At 51.3% G+C, this 20166-nt stretch overlaps 2 protein-coding genes and 2 long non-coding RNA genes across 10 annotated transcripts in view, besides 7 other annotated features; 3 read left to right on the top strand and 1 right to left on the bottom strand.

Annotated features, from left to right (window-relative positions):
• CHKB-DT (CHKB divergent transcript) lies at window positions 500-12755 on the bottom strand. 2 transcript variants are annotated; one of them, NR_110536.1, is made up of 4 exons: window positions 12458-12755; window positions 8829-8938; window positions 8326-8511; window positions 500-590 (listed from the first exon to the last, which is right to left on the bottom strand). It is a non-coding gene; the product is annotated as a CHKB divergent transcript (long non-coding RNA). The 2 variants fall into 2 exon arrangements; NR_021492.2 differs by lacking the exons at window positions 500-590; window positions 8326-8511; window positions 8829-8938 and adding an exon at window positions 11850-12183.
• Window positions 12386-12785: a silencer, noted in NCBI's record as "silent region_14002". NCBI's record gives its function as "represses an Ori minimal core promoter by ATAC-STARR-seq in GM12878 lymphoblastoid cells {active_cell/tissue: GM12878}" and the evidence as "EXISTENCE:reporter gene assay evidence [ECO:0000049][PMID:35858748]".
• CHKB-CPT1B (CHKB-CPT1B readthrough (NMD candidate)) overlaps window positions 12782-20166 on the top strand; it is a 14139-nt gene continuing 6754 nt past the window's right edge. Inside the window, exons 1-17 of the long non-coding RNA NR_027928.2 lie at window positions 12782-13223; window positions 13424-13532; window positions 13919-14032; window positions 14228-14361; window positions 15121-15216; window positions 15365-15423; window positions 15510-15591; window positions 15699-15807; window positions 15951-16054; window positions 16274-16355; window positions 16526-16745; window positions 17847-18006; window positions 18318-18457; window positions 18747-18924; window positions 19144-19245; window positions 19446-19583; window positions 19669-19746. This is a non-coding gene — a long non-coding RNA (CHKB-CPT1B readthrough (NMD candidate)). The remainder of the gene's footprint in view (window positions 13224-13423; window positions 13533-13918; window positions 14033-14227; window positions 14362-15120; window positions 15217-15364; window positions 15424-15509; window positions 15592-15698; window positions 15808-15950; window positions 16055-16273; window positions 16356-16525; window positions 16746-17846; window positions 18007-18317; window positions 18458-18746; window positions 18925-19143; window positions 19246-19445; window positions 19584-19668; window positions 19747-20166) is intronic.
• Window positions 12816-12905: a silencer, noted in NCBI's record as "silent region_14001". NCBI's record gives its function as "represses an Ori minimal core promoter by ATAC-STARR-seq in GM12878 lymphoblastoid cells {active_cell/tissue: GM12878}" and the evidence as "EXISTENCE:reporter gene assay evidence [ECO:0000049][PMID:35858748]".
• Window positions 12932-16818, top strand: CHKB (choline kinase beta). The gene is made up of 11 exons (NM_005198.5): window positions 12932-13223; window positions 13424-13532; window positions 13919-14032; window positions 14228-14361; window positions 15121-15216; window positions 15365-15423; window positions 15510-15591; window positions 15699-15807; window positions 15951-16054; window positions 16274-16355; window positions 16526-16818. Exons 1-11 carry the CDS (start codon window positions 13000-13002, stop codon window positions 16598-16600), a joined length of 1188 nt encoding a protein of 395 aa, NP_005189.2. The 5' UTR covers window positions 12932-12999; the 3' UTR covers window positions 16601-16818.
• Window positions 13236-13435: a silencer, noted in NCBI's record as "silent region_14000". NCBI's record gives its function as "represses an Ori minimal core promoter by ATAC-STARR-seq in GM12878 lymphoblastoid cells {active_cell/tissue: GM12878}" and the evidence as "EXISTENCE:reporter gene assay evidence [ECO:0000049][PMID:35858748]".
• CPT1B (carnitine palmitoyltransferase 1B) overlaps window positions 17169-20166 on the top strand; it is a 9752-nt gene continuing 6754 nt past the window's right edge. For 2 of the 6 annotated variants that reach the window (NM_001145135.2, NM_152245.3), the window contains exons 1-7: window positions 17169-17232; window positions 17847-18006; window positions 18318-18457; window positions 18747-18924; window positions 19144-19245; window positions 19446-19583; window positions 19669-19746. In NM_001145135.2, the coding sequence (NP_001138607.1) occupies window positions 17866-18006; window positions 18318-18457; window positions 18747-18924; window positions 19144-19245; window positions 19446-19583; window positions 19669-19746 (777 nt within the window). In that variant the 5' untranslated portion in view covers window positions 17169-17232; window positions 17847-17865. Of the gene's footprint in view, window positions 17233-17353; window positions 17396-17763; window positions 18007-18317; window positions 18458-18746; window positions 18925-19143; window positions 19246-19445; window positions 19584-19668; window positions 19747-20166 lie in introns of those variants that run through there. The other 4 variants (NM_152246.3, NM_004377.4, NM_001145134.2 and 1 more) reach the window with 3 other exon arrangements.
• Window positions 17323-17442: a silencer, noted in NCBI's record as "silent region_13999". NCBI's record gives its function as "represses an Ori minimal core promoter by ATAC-STARR-seq in GM12878 lymphoblastoid cells {active_cell/tissue: GM12878}" and the evidence as "EXISTENCE:reporter gene assay evidence [ECO:0000049][PMID:35858748]".
• Window positions 17783-17862: a silencer, noted in NCBI's record as "silent region_13998". NCBI's record gives its function as "represses an Ori minimal core promoter by ATAC-STARR-seq in GM12878 lymphoblastoid cells {active_cell/tissue: GM12878}" and the evidence as "EXISTENCE:reporter gene assay evidence [ECO:0000049][PMID:35858748]".
• Window positions 19347-19641: an enhancer, noted in NCBI's record as "tiled region #1531; HepG2 Activating DNase unmatched - State 12:CtcfO". NCBI's record gives its function as "activates a minimal TATA promoter and a strong SV40 promoter by Sharpr-MPRA in HepG2 cells {active_cell/tissue: HepG2}" and the evidence as "EXISTENCE:reporter gene assay evidence [ECO:0000049][PMID:27701403]".
• Window positions 19347-19641: a silencer, noted in NCBI's record as "tiled region #1531; K562 Repressive DNase unmatched - State 12:CtcfO". NCBI's record gives its function as "represses a minimal TATA promoter and a strong SV40 promoter by Sharpr-MPRA in K562 cells {active_cell/tissue: K562}" and the evidence as "EXISTENCE:reporter gene assay evidence [ECO:0000049][PMID:27701403]".

Raw genomic sequence — 20166 nt, 5'->3', positions numbered from 1 at the left:
ATTTTTTTTTTGTATTTTTAGTAGAGGCGGGTCTTCGCCATGTTGGCCAGGCTGGTCTGGAACTCCTGACCTCAGGTGATCCGCCCACCTCGGCCTCCCAAAATGCTAGGACTACAGGCGTGAGCCACCGCACCCAGCCAAGGGTAGAGTTTCTACATGATGGCTGGTTCCCATCAGAGTAAGGATCCTTGGAGGGCATGCCCTTTTCTGGTCTAACCTTGTAAGTCCTACAGCATCACTGCTGCTGTGACTATTGGCCAAAGCAGTTGCAAGCCTACCCAGCTTCAAGAGGGGGGTCACAGACCCTACCCCTCCATGGGAAGAGTGTCAAAGAACTTAGGAGCTGTGTCATAAAACCACTGCAAATCTGCAGTCCATGTGTCATGAAACCACCACAAACCTCCAGTCCATGTGTCATAAAACCACTGCAAATCTCCAGTCCACGTGTCATGAAACCACCACAAACCTCCAGTCCACTGAACCTCGCTCTTTCCTCAATGTCCACTCAAGTTTCTTACCTGACATTAACCCTCTCAATCGTCAACTTGTCCTTCTCTTCTGGATCATTTCCATCAGCAAACAAGCATAACCTATGTTAAAGAAAATGGTAATTCTCACCTGATGGTACAGGACATCCAAAATCATGGCATTTACAACATTGTTATGCCTTAATGAAAGTGACAGTAGGCCGGGCACGGTGGCTCACCCCTGTAATCCCAGCACTTTGGGAGGCCGAGGCAGGCGGATCACAAGGTCAGGAGATCAAGCACAATGGCTAACACGGTGAAACCCCATCTCTACTAAAAATACAAAAAATTAGCCAGGCGTGGCGGCAGGCGCCTGTAGTCCCAGCTACTCGGGAGGCTGAGGCAGGAGAATGGCATGAATCTGGGAGGCGGAGCTTGCAGTGAGCCGAGATCACGCCACTGCACTCCAGCCTGGGCGACAGAGCAAGACTCTGTCTCAAAAAAAAAAAAAAATCCTTCTGGTTTAAGAAAGAAATCTCACACATAATTATACCTTTCAGAAAACAGATTTCTATCAGTGCAGAAGATGATTATAACATGCATCAGTTGAAGTTTTTAAATAGATTGCTACTATCAGGAATTTTTTTTTTTTTTTTGAGACACGATTTTGCTCTGTCGTCCAGGCTGGAGTGCAGTGGTGCAATCATAGTTCACTGCAACAACCACCTCCCAGGCTTAAGCCATTCTCCCTGCTTCAGCCTTCCAAGTAGCTGGGACTACAGGTGTGTACCACCACACCCAACTCATTTTTGTATTTTAGTAGAGATGGGGTCTCACCATGTTGGCCAGGCTGGTCTCGAACTCCTGAACTCAAGTGATCCGCCTGCCTCGGCCTCCCAGAGTGCTGAGATTACAAGCATGAGCCACCACGCCTTGCCAGGAAATTTTTTAAATCTCTGAAATCTGAATGTCTCACTAGACTCCTTCATAGAACGTACATGCCCAAAGACACTTTTATAATAACTGAAAAAACAACAGGATTATACACTTTCATGAAAGTCTTTGCACTGCAGCAGAGTCATAGCCCCAAGGAGGACAGCACTGCAGCCTCGACAAATCTCTCTCTGACATACAAATTTTGGAGAGTTTTCCATTTACTGCGATGAGCACAAAGGGAACAGGCCCAGCAAAGCATGCCAGGAGCTATCAAGCTGCAGAATGTCTGGTGAGCGCTTCCCAGATTTCCCCAGTTCCTCCCAAAGATGCACTAAAGTTGGTGATGACAGGGCTCTGCCTGACAGGGAGACTCCCTGATAGGTTGCTGGAGACCCTGAACAGAGATTTACCAAGCCTTTTTTGGCGGGGGGACGGAGTCTCGCTCTGTTGCCCAGACCGGAGTGCAGTGGCGCGATCTCGGCTCACTGCAAGCTCCGCCTCCCGGGTTCACACCATTCTCCTGCCTCGTCCTTCCAAGTAGCTGGGACTACAGGCGCCCGCCACCGCGCCTGGCTAATTTTTTGTATTTTTTAGTAGAGATGGGGTTTCACCGTGTTAGCCAGGATGGTCTCGATCTCCTGACCTTGTGATCCGCCCACCTCGGCCTCCCAAAGTGCTGGGATTACAGGAGTGAGCCACCGCGCCCGGCCGGCTATCAGGCCTCTTACACCCACAAACTTGTCATCTTGGAACTCCCAGCATAATTACCTAATTTGATTAACAAAAACTGTCTTTTTTTTTTTTTTTTTTTTTTTTGAGATAGGGTCTCACTCTGTCACCCAGGCTGAAGTGCAGGGATGTGATCTTGGCTCACTGCAACCTCCGCCTCCTAAGCTCAAGCAAACCTCTCACCTCAGTCTCCCAAGTAGCTAGGACTACAGGCACCCGCCACCATGCCTGGCTAATTTTTGGTTTTTTTTTTTTTTTTTTTTTTTTTTGTAGAGACAAGGTTTCACCATGTTTTCCAGGCTGGTCTCCAACTCCTGGGCTCAAGTGATCCACCCGCTTCGGCCTCCCAATGTGCTGGGATTACAGGCGTGAGCCACCATGTGCAGCCTCAAAAGCTGTCTTCATCCTCTGGATCTAATAGCTAAGTTCTAAGTACAATCTTGCTACACGGGCCGCAGGATAAGAGACCGGGCAGCTGGCAGGATGGCACTTCTTCCCTCCCCTGCCTCACTTTCTCACCCACCCACCTTATTTCCTGCAGCTTCAAACAAACTCCTTGCATGTGAATCCTCGTTTTAGCTACTTCTTCTGAAGGAATCCAATCTAAGGCATCCTGCTAATTGTGACACTCACACTTAAATTATCAAATCGTAAAGTTAATCAATAGTTTTACCCTTTTCCTGAACAATACAAGGACCCGAGAAGTATTTAACTCTGTTTACTCCAGTCCCAACTTAAATTTTATTATTATGCATTTTAATATTCTTTATTTTTCCTTTTTTTTTTTTCTGGTTTTTTAGACAGAGTCTCACTGTCACGCAGGCTGGAGTGCAGTGGCATGATCTTGGCTCACTGCAGCCTCGACCTCCCGGGCTCAAGCAATCCTCCTGCCTCAGCCTCCCAAAGCACTGGGATTATAGGTGTGAGCCACTGTGCCTGGCTATTATTTTTCTTTTCAAGACCCATAGGAATTGTTATTGTTGCTTTAAGCCATTGATGTTTACTAGATTTACCCAAATGTTACCTCTTTCTATATCCTTCATTCCTTCTTCCTTGTCAGATCACCCTGTGATACCAATTCCTTACACCTTTTAAATGTTTCTTTAATGAGAATCTTCCGTAGTAAACTCAGTTTGTCCGAAAATGTCTTCATTTTGTCCTGGTTCCTGAAAGATATTTTTACAGGATACAGAATTCTGGGTCATTAGTTTCCATTATCACCTCGAAGGTCTCGTCCATTGTCCTCCTCTGGCTTTCCTTGTCGCTAGAAAACATCATCTCTCAGTCACTCCCTTGAAGGTCATTTTCCATGCATCTCCAGCTGCATTTAGGACGCTTTTGTCTTTGGTGTTCTGAAGTTTCAATGTGGTCTATCTAGGTGTGGGTTTATTTTGTATTTTTTTCTGCATGAGGTTCTCAATTATATAAATTTATATGAATTTCTCAATTATGTGACTTTCATTAGTTTAGAAATTTCATAGCCATTATCTCTTCAAATATTTCCTCTGCTCCATTCCATCTCTTCTCCTTCTGGCACTCTAATTAGGCTCATGTTGGATTTTCCTATTCTAGCCTTTATGTCTCTTAACCCTTTTTCCAGGTTTTCCAAATCTATGTCTTTCCAGGCAGCATTCTGTATACTGTATTCATATTTATCTTTTAGCTCATGAAGTCTCGCTTTGGTTATTTATAATCTTCTGTTAAACATGCATACTAAGTTTTTAATTTAGTTGAAATTAAAATTCAACTAAAATTTGAACTAAATTAAAACTTTCCTTTTAGAACTTCCATTTGGTTCTTTTCAAACTGCTTGACTATTCTTTATAGTTTTGTGGGTTTTGCACACATTTTCTTTCTTTTTCTTTTCTTTAGAGACAGGGTCTCACTGTGTTGCACAGGCTGGAGTGCAGCGGCATGATCACGGCTCACTGTAGCCTCAACCTCCCATGCTCACGTGATTCTCTCACCTCCCAAGCACCTGGGACTACAGGTGCATACCACCGTTTCTGGCTAATTTTTTATTTTTTTGTAGAGACAGGGTCTCACTATTTGCCTAGGCTGGTCTTGAATGCCTGGGCTCAAGAATTCTTCAGCCTTGGCTTCCCAAAGTGCTGGGATTATAGGCATGAGCCACCATGCCCAGCCTTAAGACATATGCAGATGTAAAACATAACAACACCAATACAGAGGATGGGAGGAGAAATGAAAACATACTGCTGTAAGGAGGCTCTTACATTATATGTAGATGCCATAACATCATGTGAGGGTAGACTATGACAAGTTAAAAATGTATATTATAAATCCTAGAGAAAACATTTTAAAAACTACAACAAGACACAATTAATAAGCTAAGAGTGGTAATAAAACAGAATACGAAAACATACTTGATCAATCCATCAGAAAGCAGAAAAGAAGTGGAAATGGAACAAAGGTAAGATGGGACAAATAAATAGCAAGATGGTAGATTTAAACCCAATAATATCAATGATTACATTAAATAGAAATGATCTAAACTCAGATTGAAAGGCAGAGATTATCAGAATGTATTTAAAAAGTGAGACACAAACTATAAGCTACCTCAAGAAATGAAATGTTAAATATAAACACCAAGATAGGCTAAAAGTAATAGACTGGAAAGAAAGAAAAATAAAGGAGCCAGGTGTGGTGGCTCATGCCTGTAATCCCAGCAGGGAAGCCAGGGTGGGAGGATAGCATGAGCCCAAGAGTTCGAGACCAGCCAGGGCAACACAGTGGGACCCCATCTACACACACACACACAAACACACACGCTAGCCAGGTGGTGGCACACACCTGTAGTCCCAGCTACTCAGGAGGCTGAAGGATCGCTTGAGCCCAGGAGGTCAAGGCTGCAGTAAGCTGTGATAGTGTCACTGGACTCCAGCCTGGGCAACAGAGTGAGACTCTGTCAGAAAGAAAGAAAAGAAAGAAAAAGAGAGAGAGGAAGAGGAAGAGGAAGAGGGAGGGACAAAGAAAGAAAGAAAGAAGGAAAAGAAAGAAAGAAAGAAAGAAAGAAAGAAAGAAAGAAAGAAAGAAAGAAGGAAAAGAAAGAAAGAAAGAAAGAAGGAAAAGAAAGAAAGAAAGAAAGAAGGAAAAGAAAGAAAAGAAAGAAAGGGAAAAGTGAATTAGAAGGAAAGATCAGAATCAATGGAATAAAAAATATATACACAGTTGAGGGTAATCAATGAAACCAAAAGCTGGTTCTTTAAAAAACTCAGTAAGATTGATAAACCTCTAGCTAGACTAACCAAGAAAAAAGAAGACATAAATAACCTTATCAGGAATGAAAGCAAAAATATCATTATAGATTCAGCAGATATTAAAAGAATTATAAAACTATGAACAACTTTATGCCAATAAACTTGAAAATGTAAATTAAATGAACAAATTTCTTGAAAGACACAAATTACCAAAGCTGGAACAAAAAGAAAAAGAAAAATCTGAATGGCCTCATAATTACTAAAGACATTGAATTACCAATTAAAAACCTTTCCACAAAGAAAACTCCAGATCCAGATTGCCTTACTGGTGAATTCTAGCAAACATTTAAGGAAGAAATAATACTAATCCTACATAAACATTTCAGGAAACAGGAGGCAGAAACCTTCCCAACTCATGTTATGAAGCTAGAATGTCACTACTGAAAATGTGGAGAAATCGTATCACCAAAGAAACTACAATCTAGTTTGTCAAACCCTCTGACAATTCAGCTCCTAAAGTAATCCCTACAAAAGCCAGGAGGCATTTGATCCCATAGAAGAAACTACGCAGCCTCCAAGAAGGTTCCTCTCCAGTGTCCTCCTAGATGTGGACACGAAGTCTAACAGACAAGGAGAAACATTCCAGAAAACTGAGCCGGCGCTGCCAGGAAAGGGGACTTCACTATTTATGCTCAATAGGATTTGGCAAGTGCCACAGACTAGAGATCGGGTCTAAATATGGGGTCTTTGTAGTATTTACCCAATTCTTACTCTTTTGTTTTGTTTTGTTTTGTTTGAGACGGAGTTTCACTCTTTTTGCCCAGGCTGGAGTGCAATGGCGCGATCTCAGCTCACTGAAACCTCCGCCCGCTGGGTTCAAGCGATTCTCCTGCCTCAGCCTCCCGAGTAGCTGGGATTACAGGCATGCGCCACCACGCTGGCTAATTTTGTATTTTTAGTAGAGACGAGGTTTCTCCATGTGGGCCAGGCTGGTGTCTAACTCCCAACCTCAGGTGATCCGCCCACCTCAGCCTCCCAAAGTGCAGGGATTATAGGCATGAGCCACTGCGCCCGGCCCTTAATCTTTCTTTGTATGTTTGGGACACATAAAATATGTTTTAGTTTATACGACATTGGATTAAACTAGTGTACACTGAGTTTGTTGGAGGATGAATGACAAACCTTTTATAAGTCACTGGACCACAAGGATCTACCTCTGGACCTGAAGGAGCAAATTGCATATAAGTCAGAGAACCTAAATTTTGAGCTGGATGCTGCAACTAGTTAGAACTTTTACAGTGGTCTCCCTTAAGGATAAGGTGAGTGAGTTTTGTATACAGGAAGTAGAGAGGGCATGGCCAAAGGGGCAGATGGTGCCCTAATATCAATTTTCCAGTTTTCCCATAATTTTAGAATCCCTAGCCAGCACCTACACCTGGCCTTTATCCATTCACCTGCCGACGCACACTCAGGTTGCTTCCTAACTTGGCTATTGTGAATAATGCTGCAATGAATAAGCTGGTACTGATATCCTCCAAGATATTGATTTCATTTCCTCTGGATATACATCCAGAAGTGGGATTGCTGGATTGCATGGTAGTTCTGTTTTAATTTTTTACTGTATTCCATAATGGTTGTACCAATCTACCTTTTCACCAACAGTATACAAGGGTTCTCTTTTCTCCACATCCTCGCCAATATTTGTTATCTCTTGCCTTTGTTTTTTTTTTTTATATAGTAGCCAAACTAAGAGGTGTGAGGTGGATCGCGTTGTTGTCATATCTCGTTGTGGTGTTTGCATCTCCCTGATTAGTGATGTTGGGCCCCTTTCATATACCTGTTGGTCATTTGCATGTCTTCTTTGGAGAAATGTCTATTCAGGTCCTTTACACATTTTAAATTGGGTTATTTGGTGTTTTGCTATTGAGTTTTGTAAGTTCCTTATACATTTTGGATATTAACTCCTTATCAGATACATGATTTGCAAATACTTTCTCCCGTTCCATGGGTTGTTGATCGTACCCCTTTACTATCTTGAAAAGAAATTTATAACCTATTTTTTTAAATTACACAATGGTCTAATGAAGGGATAGAGAGAGGAGAGTGGCAGCCAGGTCATGTCACATACATCACAAATCCACTCCACATTCTCATCTTCCCATCAATGTAAACCACCAAGGAGTCCAGGCTTCATTCAGCCACCCAGGCACGGTCATAACTACTCCCAGGCCTTGAGCCAAAATACGGAATCAAAGATTCTCTTTGAAGTGCACTCATGTTGATAAATTTGCACTAACCTACAATTCATTCTTGGCTTTGTATCCTCACAGTCCATTCCTGTATGTATTCCCCTCGCCTTTTTTTTTTTTTTTTTTTTTTTTTTTTGAGATGGAGTTTAGCTCTGTTGCTCAGGCTGGAGTGCAGTGGCACAATCTCGGCACAGGCTCAGGGGGCCGCCATGGTGTCAGAGAAGGCCTGGAGCAGGAAGTGCAAAGACACACAGCAGAGATGCAGCTCTGTGTCCACTGCAGTTAAAGGTGGGCTGAGGGCATCAGCCAAGACACCATCTCCTGCCCCTCTCAGATCTAGTCAGCTACAATATTGAGTCTACTCTGTCACGATTCTTCAAAGTAAAGGCTAGTTACAACTCCTATGAAAGCCTTAATACAAGAGGCTTAGCAGAACAAATACAATCCCCACTGCCACAGCTTCTCCCAAGTAACAGATATTCAGCAGCCACCTCCTCCTTGGCCTCACCCTCACCAGCATTCCAGCTTGTCTCCATGGCTTGCCTGGTGACGCTGCCCAGACCTTCACCCTGAGGCATCTGAGCCCTTAGGGGCTATGGCTGCTGAAAAGACCTTTTCATTGTCATTACTTGGCATGGAAGCACCAAGACAGACCTAGATGAATCCTCTAAGTGCCAGATCAATGCCTGCTTGCCCCGTTACGCAGCAGCCACGCTACCTCCTCACCGTTTATCAGGATCAAGTATCCCCTCCTTTGTGGCCTGCTGGTCCACCAGTATGAGGAGCTGAGAGTAACCTGGTGGTCTTTGCAGATTCAGGCTCAGCAGAGGTATCCTTCCTGCAACCAGCAGGAGTGCCCTCGTGGAAGCGTTCCTACCTGGGAAACAGGCTCTAATCCAGCAGATCCTAAGGCTGTGGAGACAGAATGTACAAATTCTACGTGTAAGCACTGGGAATGATGGTGAGAAGTAGCTAATCCCAACCCTTGGGTTCCTGGACCTGTGTCTTTCTGCTTGGATCCACATGAAGTATCTACTGGGGGCAGAGCACCATATATTAGACTCTGATTCAGTGTATATATCCCAACTCCTCAGGATACTGTCCTAGAACCAGGACCTCAGCTAAGCCCTTAAGAAGTCATCCCATCTTTCCAGTAGCCTAGCTGCTTTTACGTAACGCAGGATATTAGAGAAGCAGTGGATCCCATGGTCATCCACACACTACCATACCTCTTTCGCTATAAAATGGCTTTCTTGGCCTGAGGCGATGTGATTCGTGATCCCATGTTGGTACACGGAGCATGCCTGAAGCTCCTGGATAGTGATGCTGGCCTGGGACCCTGTGGATACAGAAGACAAACCCTTATCCAGAGCAGGTGTCAACTCCAGCAAGGATGAAGGGCTGTCACCAACTTGCCACTAAGTAACTAGTTGGGGTGCTCTAGGGATGGTATCTCAGCAGGGGCTCAGCACTGATCGCTTTCAGCAGGAGTAATCATGAGACAAGCCTTGAGAAAGAAGGCCTGTGCTGGTGGACGCTAACCTGTGCTCCTTCTGCATGACGCCGCCACTCACAGTCCACTGTTCAAGCACAGGGGTAGCCAGGGGCACAGCTGACTGACATCCCATCCATCCTGCTGTTCACCAACTCCTCTGCAGTATTAACACAAGGCAGAGAGATGCACATATTGTGTGGCCACTCCTGTAGGTCCATCTTCCCCTCTTGCTCTTTTCAGGTCCCTGACCAGCCAGCAGGACGTCACAACCCAGAAGTCCATATGCGTCCCTCCCTCAGGCCACTACTCTGTCCACTGCCTCCATACAAAGTGGATATCCACACGAACTGCTGGAAGCTCAGCCCCATGGAGGATTTCCTATTGTCGTCCTTTAGGGTCACCTTGAATGGGACTGTAGTGTACCTATGGTTCATTTTCAGTTCATATCAACACATCAAACTGACCTATATACGAACCAGACCAGAATGCTTATCTGCTAAGGGAGAAATATCAGTGCAAAGCAGATGTGGGGCCACACTGCCACCTCTTCCTGTAAATAACTGTTACCCACTAGACACGCTTGGGTCCAAGCCCAAGGCTTCCTTTTTCATTGTACCATCAATTGCTACTGAGCCTCTGACCTACTGACTTGGAGGATCTGACAACACCTCGCTTGGGCAGACCCTGTCGCATGGTCGCTGATGTCCCACCAGCAGGTGCTCGGTCTCTACCTGGGTCTGGTAGTGTGCCTGATACTGCTCTCACTTGGCGAGTAGTTCTCTGCTGCAGAAGGCATGGTCTTGTCCAAGAACTCTAGGACAGTGTACTGCAACTCTTCCGTTGGAGTTTGCCAGAGATGCCATATAGGGTCCTTCCTACCCCAAATAAGCCCCCCGGTAACCCATTGGATCTATGCAGCAGGGAAGCCCATCTCCCAATCCAAATCTTTAGCAGAGCCCTCTTTTTCTCTGGGCCCCACTCAAAGCTGGCAGTTTTCCCGTTACCCAATAAAGGGGTCAGAGAGGTATCCTCTAGCGCGGTGCATGCTGACTCCAAAACACAGAGGTGCCTCAATGCTGTGCCTCTTTCTTCCTTGTAAGGATGCAGGATGCAATAACTTGTCCCTGGCTTGCCCTCAAACGCTGCACCCCTGAGAATGTCACTGATATGGCAGGCTCCAGAACTTCTGAGGGCTTCTCGCTCATCCTCTGACATGCACGGCCTTCTTCACCATGTCCAACTAGTATGACATCATCAATGTTATATGGAATATAGATGATAAGCTACCTAAGGACTATTGTGACAGAGAACAGGAGAGTTCAGACAGCAAGAAGCAAGACCATTTACAGAGCTGTCCTTCCCATATAAATGTGAACTGCTTTTAATCCTCTTTACCACTGGCAATTGAAAAGAATGTTCACCAAGTCAATAATTGCATTATCAAGAGCCAGAGGTGCATTTATCGGTTCCAGTAAAGATACCACACCTAGCACAGCTGTGTGATCGGGGACACGACTTGGCTAAGTTTGTGCAGGGCATCATCATTTACTTGAATCCACCAAGATTTAGCAGGAGCCATTCAGGTTAATTGAAGGGATGAAACGGTAACCACTGCTTTATAAGTCTTTGAGGGCGAAATACCTCTGCAATTACACCTGGAATGCAGCATTGTTTCTGACTTACTATCTTGGAAAGGTTTCAGTAGGGTGAGGAGTTTCAAAGGTTTCTACTTTGCGCTTCCTTACATATGGTACCAAAGGCCTGGGATCAATGTATACGCTCCGCCCTCTGCTAGGTAAAAACATCCCAAGTATGCATTGAGACCAGAGAAGTAACCACAGGACTCGGGTTGGGAATTCTGCTTATCATCTGATTTCCATAAGCCTGCACCCTAATGAGAGGGCCATGATGCTTCAGGGCTCCTGGAAACAGTGTCAGCTCAGATCCTGTATCAGCCCTTCAAAGACCTAGACAGTCCCTTTTCCGAAGTAAACTAGTTTTTTTGGTGTGTTTGTTGTTGCTGTTCAGACAGTCTTGCTGTGTTGCTCAGGCTGGAGTGCAGTGGCGTGAACACAGGTCACTGCAGCCTTGACCTCCTGGGCTTAAGTGATTCTCTCACCTCAGCATCCAGAGTAGCTGGAACCACAGGCACCTGCCACCACGCCCAGCTAATCTTTTAATTTTTGTAAAGACAGGTTCTTGCTATGTTGCCCAGGCTGGTCTCAAACTCCTGGGCTCAAACGATCCTCCTACTTCGGCTTCCCAAAGTGCAGGGATTAAAAGCGTGACCCACTGCCCCCAGCCAGAATCAGTTTTCTTTTTTTTTTTTTTTTTTTTGAGACTGAGTCTGACTCTGTCGCTCAGGCTGGAGTGCAGTGGCTCGCGGCAACAAGGCCTGGGTTCAAGGGATTGTCACGCCTCAGCCTCCCGTGTAGCTGGGATTACAGGCACAAGCCACCAAACCCGGCTAATTTTTGTATTTTTAGTAGCGACGGGGTTTCGCTATGTTGGCCAGGGTGGTCTCAAACTCCTGACCTCAAGTGATCTGCCCGCCTCGGCCTCCCAAAATGCTGGGAGTACAGGCGTGAGCCACCACGCCCGGACCAGTTACTTTTTAAAGTGGCTCTAGGTCCCTTTAGGGAAGGATTGGAGGAATATTTCTTGGTATATGCTCAGATGCTGGTATTGTAAGATCCTTCCTGAGAGGAACCAAGCCTCCTTGTCAATTAATGGGCTCTAGGTCTCAAAACTGACTCAGATTTAAACAGAATGATCATGATTTTCCACTGCAGCAAAAGTGACATTAGCCTTGTGATCACCAATTTTTGATTTCTTTCTGGTTATCAAACAATACTCTAGTCAGATGCCCCAAAGAACACCATGGTTCGACAGACATTGCCACAGATCTCTGTGGGTCCAGCGTTCCTGGTCGCCGCTCTAGCCTGGGGCAGAAGCAGAAATGCAGGAGGCACGCGTTTAAATCAGGACGCCCTCAATGGGAGGTGCGCAGGCCGAGGAGGGGGCTGCGGCAAGCTGCGAGTCTTCACTTTCTTCGGCTCTTGGGTTTGACTCTGTAATTGGTTCTAGGCCTGGAGGAGACGAGGAGGATAGGGGGAGAGGGGAATGAATGAAGACGCGCATCTCAAGCGGGGCAGCAAAAGACTCCTCATTCAGAGGTGCGGCTCTACCGGCCAGGGAGTCCCCGTGTAGACTGGGCATTTATGCAACTGGAGTCATCGGAACTGTCCCAAGGGTCACATTCCTTCAGCAAATGTTTACTGCGTACCCACCGGGTGCCCGCATCCCGCACTCTGCCCGCGCTGTGCGGCCCTGCCTAGCGCGCGCGCCTCCTCCAGGCCTCACCCACGCTCAGGACGGACGCGCGCTGGACGGCTCTTCCTTGTCGGAGCGCCCCAGGGGTCGGGGAAGAGGGCCCGGCAAGGGAGCCCTCGCGCCGGAGCTGCAGCTGCAGCCGCCGCCCCGCCGCCCCGCCGGCTCCCACGGGGCAGAGACGCAGCTCCTCTCCGGTCTTCCCGTACGCTACCGCGCCCGGGCAGTTCCTCGCCCGCGCACGCGCCGCTCCGCCAACTGATTGGCCTCCGGCGCCTCGGATTGGCCCAGGCCGTCCAACAGCAGCCCCGCCCAGAGAGAGACCATTGGTCCTTGCCCATAGGGGCGGGGCCCGGCAGAGATCTGCGGAATTCGGCCTTCGGAAAGAGCCCCCGGGCCGGGGCACGGAGAGAGCCGAGCGCCGCAGCCGTGAGCCGAATAGAGCCGGAGAGACCCGAGTATGACCGGAGAAGCCCAGGCCGGCCGGAAGAGGAGCCGAGCGCGGCCGGAAGGAACCGAGCCCGTCCGAAGGGAGCGGAGCGCAGCCTGGCCTGGGGCCCGGTCGAGCCCGCGCCATGGCGGCCGAGGCGACAGCTGTGGCCGGAAGCGGGGCTGTTGGCGGCTGCCTGGCCAAAGACGGCTTGCAGCAGTCTAAGTGCCCGGACACTACCCCAAAACGGCGGCGCGCCTCGTCGCTGTCGCGTGACGCCGAGCGCCGAGCCTACCAATGGTGCCGGGAGTACTTGGGCGGGGCCTGGCGCCGAGTGCAGCCCGAGGAGCTGAGGGTTTACCCCGTGAGGTGGGAGGTCAGGGGTCAGCCTCTCCGGTGCGCGGATCGGGGTCAGGGGTCAGCCGCGGGGCCCTCAGGATGCTCCATGTTTTCGCCCCCCTCTTGCGCCCGCGCCTGGGGCGGGGCGGGGCCGGCCTGGCCGGGAGGGGGCCGGGGCCGCGGCAGGTAGGGCCGGCCGCGGGCTGAGCGCGCCTGGTGTGGGTCTGCAGCGGAGGCCTCAGCAACCTGCTCTTCCGCTGCTCGCTCCCGGACCACCTGCCCAGCGTTGGCGAGGAGCCCCGGGAGGTGCTTCTGCGGCTGTACGGAGCCATCTTGCAGGTGAGGGGGGTGTGAGCGCCGCAGCACCAGTGGCTTTAGGGCCTGTCGCTTACGCGATGCGGGTAGTATTGTTCCCGTTGCGCAGTTGAGGACACCGAGGTTCACGGTCTGAGTAACACCTCATTACACCGAAGCCTGGGCCTGTATTCCCAGAGCTTTGGGAGGCTGAGGCGAGAGGATCACTTGAGCACAGGAGTTCGAGACCAGCCTGGACAACATAGTGAGACCCCCATCTCTAAATAAAAATAGACCAACGCTAAAGCCTGTGCTCCAGAGCCTCCAGGCAATTGGATCAGAAGTCGCAGCTCTGGTGGGAGGAAGGCGAGCCCTCATGTGTGTCCCTGTGCCACTTTGCCTTGGCCCCTTTGCTGTCCATCCTTTTTCAGGGCGTGGACTCCCTGGTGCTAGAAAGCGTGATGTTCGCCATACTTGCGGAGCGGTCGCTGGGGCCCCAGCTGTACGGAGTCTTCCCAGAGGGCCGGCTGGAACAGTACATCCCAGTACGGGCCCAGTCCTACCCTCTCCTCCCCAAGGCACCTCCACCCCCTAACCCTACCCCAGTGCCCAATGTCTGCCTCCACATCCCTCACCCCAAGTAGGGAATTTCCCCCAAAACCCTGACTTCCCCTCATTGCCCCAGCCCTTCCCACTCCTGCCCCAGCCCCATCACCACCCTGATAGCTTCCTGGGTGCAGAGTCGGCCATTGAAAACTCAAGAGCTTCGAGAGCCAGTGTTGTCAGCAGCCATTGCCACGAAGATGGCGCAATTTCATGGCATGGAGATGCCTTTCACCAAGGAGCCCCACTGGCTGTTTGGGACCATGGAGCGGTGAGTCAGGAGCCTCCTCAGGGCTCCTGTACTCCTGAGCTGAACCTCCATGCCAGCGGATGTGTCGGGGGCTCTATCCAGCCCTCCACTTGAGTGGATCTGATGTCATGGGCTGTCACAGAACAGGCTTTTAAATGCTTGCCAGAGGCCACATGCAGTGCCTCATGCCTGTAATCCCAGAACTTTGGGAGCCGAGGTGGGTGAGGTGGGAGGATCACTTGAGCCCAGGAGGCGGAGGTTGCAGTGAGCTGAGCTCATGCCATTGCACTTCAGCCTGGGTGAGAGCAAGACTCTGTCTCAAAACACCAAACAAAAAAAGAAAAAAGAAATGATTGCCAAGGCCAGGCACGGTGGCTCATGCCTGTAATCCTAGCACTTCGGGAGGCTGAGGTGAGCAGATTGCCTGAGCTCAGGAGTTCAAAACCAGCCTGGACAACACAGTGAAACCCTGTCTCTATTAAAATACAAAAAAATTAGCCAGGCATGGCAGCATGCACCTGTAGTCCCAGCTACTCGGGAGGCTGAGGCAGGAGAATTGCTTGAACCCGGGAGGCAGAGGTTGCAGTGAGCCAAGATCGCGCCACTGCACTCCAGCCTGGGTGACAGAGCAAGACTCCATTTCAAAAGAAAAAAAGAAATGATTGCCGGACAAGTCACACAGTGATAGGAGCAGGGGTGCAGTAGTCTGGCCTGAGGGGTAGATAGGCGAGGGGTGGGAAAGAATAGCAGAGCCAGTGTATCCTATTCTTTGGGCTTCAGGTACCTAAAACAGATCCAGGACCTGCCCCCAACTGGCCTCCCTGAGATGAACCTGCTGGAGATGTACAGCCTGAAGGATGAGATGGGCAACCTCAGGTGAGGGCAGGCAGGACAAGGCTAATGGTAATGGTGTCCGCCCTTCCAGTAGTTGCTGAGGGCTGGTGTCAGGGCCTGGCCTGTTAGGGTGGCTCTGATCCTCCTCTAGTCACTCCTGCTCAGGACCCATGCTCCCATACCCCTGTAGGAAGTTACTAGAGTCTACCCCATCGCCAGTCGTCTTCTGCCACAATGACATCCAGGAAGGTAGGAGAAGGCATCTGAGTCTCCTAACCCAAGATGGAAGAGCCAGAGGGCTCTGGAGTGAGCAGAACCTCACCCCATTCCCCCAGGGAACATCTTGCTGCTCTCAGAGCCAGAAAATGCTGACAGCCTCATGCTGGTGGACTTCGAGTACAGCAGTTATAACTATAGGTGAGGCTGGAAAGATGGCTTCCCATAGATCTGTTCCCATAGGGCTCTTGAAAACAGGCCAGCTGCCCAGGGCATTTGGGGACTGAATGTCCACCTTATTCTCCCAGGGGCTTTGACATTGGGAACCATTTTTGTGAGTGGGTTTATGATTATACTCACGAGGAATGGCCTTTCTACAAAGCAAGGCCCACAGACTACCCCACTCAAGAACAGCAGGTATGTGGGCCAGAGGCTGGGGAGCAGGACCCATCCTGTGAGGAAGGAGGGAGGTGGAGTCTGGAAGGAATGGCCGGAAAGGATGTTACCTGGGAAATACTCCACAGTCTCCCCAATTCCTGACTCTTGGCCATTGATCGTAGTTGCATTTTATTCGTCATTACCTGGCAGAGGCAAAGAAAGGTGAGACCCTCTCCCAAGAGGAGCAGAGAAAACTGGAAGAAGATTTGCTGGTAGAAGTCAGTCGGTGAGGAAGGAGGGGCAGGGTGGGGTAGGGCAGAGCAGAGGAAAGAGGGATTGGGGAAGAGGCAGATTTATCAAGCTGCAGGGAAGGTGGCTGTGGAGAGTGGAGTTAGGACAGTGGGGGAGAAGTTAAAACTGTAGGGATTGGCCAACCTGGGTGAGGGGATCCAAGCAGTGCTAGACATGCTCTTGAATGCCCCTCCTTTTCCTGCCCTCCCCCCAGGTATGCTCTGGCATCCCATTTCTTCTGGGGTCTGTGGTCCATCCTCCAGGCATCCATGTCCACCATAGAATTTGGTTACTTGGTAAGTGACCCTGGGGATGGGAATGCTAGCTGGGGGGCTGGGGAGCAGCAGCAGCCACACTCTTCCAGGAGGCCTGGGGAGTCCCGGGTGGCTGTGGGCAGCCTGAGGTGGATGTAGAATGCTGGTCCCACGTCTTCTCACCACTGTGTGGGGTGGGTTTCCTTCCCTAGGACTATGCCCAGTCTCGGTTCCAGTTCTACTTCCAGCAGAAGGGGCAGCTGACCAGTGTCCACTCCTCATCCTGACTCCACCCTCCCACTCCTTGGATTTCTCCTGGAGCCTCCAGGGCAGGACCTTGGAGGGAGGAACAACGAGCAGAAGGCCCTGGCGACTGGGCTGAGCCCCCAAGTGAAACTGAGGTTCAGGAGACCGGCCTGTTCCTGAGTTTGAGTAGGTCCCCATGGCTGGCAGGCCAGAGCCCCGTGCTGTGTATGTAACACAATAAACAAGCTTCTTCTTCCCACCCTGTCCTGGCCCTGCTGAGCAGCAGCAGAAAGTACCAAACCGAGCAGTACACACAAAGGGACTCTTCAGTGCTCTGGGATTGAAAGTGGTTAGCGTTCATGCTGCCAGTTGGGGTCCCCCATCCCTCCCCAGTCCCCTGGCTGCAGCTTAGAATAATAAATACTAGGACTTGGGGAGGAGGAGAGTGATGGGGGTATGAAGACGACCCTGAGGTGGGGATGCCGCCCGGAGCACCAGCGATCCCAGAACAGGCAGCAGCTGACACATCGGTGACCTTTTCCCTACATTTGGCTATTTTTAGCTCTAAAGCCACCATCCTCACGAGACTCTGGGGCCCCCCAGGCTCCCAGACCTTTGAGCAACCTTCACCGCACAGAAACCCAGCCGCGCCCTGCAATTCCCACCGCGGAAGGTGGGTGGGTTCTGGTTCTCGCCCCACGTTTTTCCCCGACCCCGATTTGGGAGTAGGTGTCAGGTTCCTGGTGAGGGCGGGGCGGGGGTGGCTAGGCCTGAAGGACGTGGGGACACGGGCCAGAGTGGCTGGCCCCACGCACGGACAGGAGTGAACCCGAGCTGTGAGTAGGGGCCGGCACAGGGCGGCCCGCGGGGGTCTGGGCCCTCAGCCCTGCACAGGGGCGAGGACGGCGCTGGGGCCCGCGCGCTCGGGTGGGGAAGGGCGGGCTCCCGAACCCTGCCTCTGTCCAGGCCGGCTCCACTTCCAGGGGCGCCTCTCTCCCCTGCCCGCGCCCTCGCTGACGCCCCCCAACTCCAGGCTGCCCTTCGCCGTCCTTGGGGCTCCTGGAGCTTTCAAGGCCCAAATCCCCTGCACCACAGTGGCTGTGCCCACCCGGAAGGCTGGCGCGAGGATTTGGCGGCGGTTGGCCTGGCGGGGGGCGCGGGCCGGGGGCAGCCGCTAGTCGCGGGGTGGGGGGCGCGAGGGGTCGCGGACTGGCTGGGGGCGTCTCGGCGCGGCTGGCGGCGGGGCCGGCCTAAGCGCGCCCGCGCACCCATCTGCCCCCGTCCTAGGTGCCGACCAACCCCCAGGATGGCGGAAGCTCACCAGGCCGTGGCCTTCCAGTTCACGGTGACCCCAGACGGGGTCGACTTCCGGCTCAGTCGGGAGGCCCTGAAACACGTCTACCTGTCTGGGATCAACTCCTGGAAGAAACGCCTGATCCGCATCAAGGTGCGCACAGGTGCTTCTCCCAGAGCGTAGGCAGAGGCCGGCTGTCAGCTGTTAAGCGCTTTGTTAGGGTCCCTCACTGCCTCCTTGGCTGGCACTTCTGCCCGGTACAGGTTGTGGAAGTACAGACACCAGAGGGGTGCACAGGATGTGGTCGGACACAGGGAGCTGTGGGTGTGGCGGAGGAAGGAGCACAGCAGGGCATCAGGAGAGAAAGCCTTCCAGGCCAAGACCAGGAGCCAGTTCCCAAGACTTCACAGGCAGGCTAACCTCCCGCCTTCCGGCTCCATAAGGGCGCCTGTTTCTGCCCACAGAATGGCATCCTCAGGGGCGTGTACCCTGGCAGCCCCACCAGCTGGCTGGTCGTCATCATGGCAACAGTGGGTTCCTCCTTCTGCAACGTGGACATCTCCTTGGGGCTGGTCAGTTGCATCCAGAGATGCCTCCCTCAGGGGTAAGGAGTGAAACTGGAAGGGCACAGGTGCCACCAGGGAGGGCTGGGCCCAGCTCCCAAGGCTGAGGTTCCTGAGCTGGGCAGATACAGGACAGCAGCCATTGGCAGTCACGGGGCAGCCCTCCCCTATGACAACCATTGTCTTAGCCCTACATCCGCTCATTTGATGCAGTCAGACATGAGTGTGCCCAGGGAGGTTCTTCCCCTTGGTGTCTCCCCTGAGACAGTTCACAGCCACCCGAGGCTGGCCTCAAGAGGACCCCCTGCAGCCCTTGCCCCTCTCCAATAGGTGTGGCCCCTACCAGACCCCGCAGACCCGGGCACTTCTCAGCATGGCCATCTTCTCCACGGGCGTCTGGGTGACGGGCATCTTCTTCTTCCGCCAAACCCTGAAGCTGCTTCTCTGCTACCATGGGTGGATGTTTGAGATGCATGGCAAGACCAGCAACTTGACCAGGATCTGGGCTGTGAGCAGCAGCCAGTGGAGGGGTTCAGGCACCTGGGTTGAGACTCTTTGGACTCCTTTGGGGTTCTGAGCTAGACGGGAGAGGCAGACAGGGCACTGGTGCCTGGTGTGTGGTTTGTCCTGGAGGGGCTGGGATGGCTCTGAGGGTCTCAGGGAGTTGCTGGTTGGTTTCCATTTTTTCCACTGGCTCCCACCCCAGCACTCTGCTCTGTACCCCCAGATGTGTATCCGCCTTCTATCCAGCCGGCACCCTATGCTCTACAGCTTCCAGACATCTCTGCCCAAGCTTCCTGTGCCCAGGGTGTCAGCCACAATTCAGCGGGTGAGGGCCTCGCTTGGGCATCCCAGTGGGCAGGGGAGGTTGGATTCAGGAGATGTTTCCAAATATAAGGTTCTGTGCAAAGAGTGGCCTTAAGGGCTTGAGAATAATGGGGCTGGGTGAGGAGGGAGAGGTGGGAAGAGGATTAAGATAGAGGCAGCCCTTGCCATCTGGCCCCACGGTGATGATAACTGGCTGGACAGTACCTAGAGTCTGTGCGCCCCTTGTTGGATGATGAGGAATATTACCGCATGGAGTTGCTGGCCAAAGAATTCCAGGACAAGACTGCCCCCAGGCTGCAGAAATACCTGGTGCTCAAGTCATGGTGGGCAAGTAACTATGTAAGTTCCTGCCCCTGGGCTCACTGTCACCTGCCATGTGTCCTGGCTGCACCCGCCCCAGCTCTAACCTTCCACCTCCCCACAGGTGAGTGACTGGTGGGAAGAGTACATCTACCTTCGAGGCAGGAGCCCTCTCATGGTGAACAGCAACTATTATGTCATGGTATGAACTAGAGCCCCCAGGTCCCCGCACGTGCTCAGCTCTGTCCCAGCTCCAAGGCAAGGGATCTGGAGGACAGCCCAGAGCTCTAGTAGCAGCTTCCGTGGGCAAGTGGGGGTTATGGAGTGAGGCCTGAGGGAAAGGGAAGAGAGAGAGGAGATCCTAGAAGAGTCCAGAAGCAGCTTAGGGGCAATGGGGATCCTAAGGATGAGGAGAGTGGAGACCGCCAGCCTGCCACCGCTTCTCAGAGTCCCGGGGTCACTGCCCCTGCCCAGCTCGGGCTCTGTCACCTCTTTCCTTGGTTTCCTCACTGGCCTCCTGGCCATGGGTTCCCAGCTGTCCTGACACCATAACCAGGGAATTGTCTAGAACGTGTCTTGCTTTGTGTCCCTCTGCAGAGCCGGACAGCAGAATGGAGGCCAG

Source organism: Homo sapiens, chromosome 22 (genome assembly GCF_000001405.40).
Source record: "Homo sapiens chromosome 22, GRCh38.p14 Primary Assembly".
Classification (NCBI taxonomy): Eukaryota; Metazoa; Chordata; class Mammalia; order Primates; family Hominidae; genus Homo; species Homo sapiens.
The sequence above is the reverse complement of the archived record's forward strand: the minus strand, read 5'-3'. Positions and strand labels throughout refer to the sequence as shown.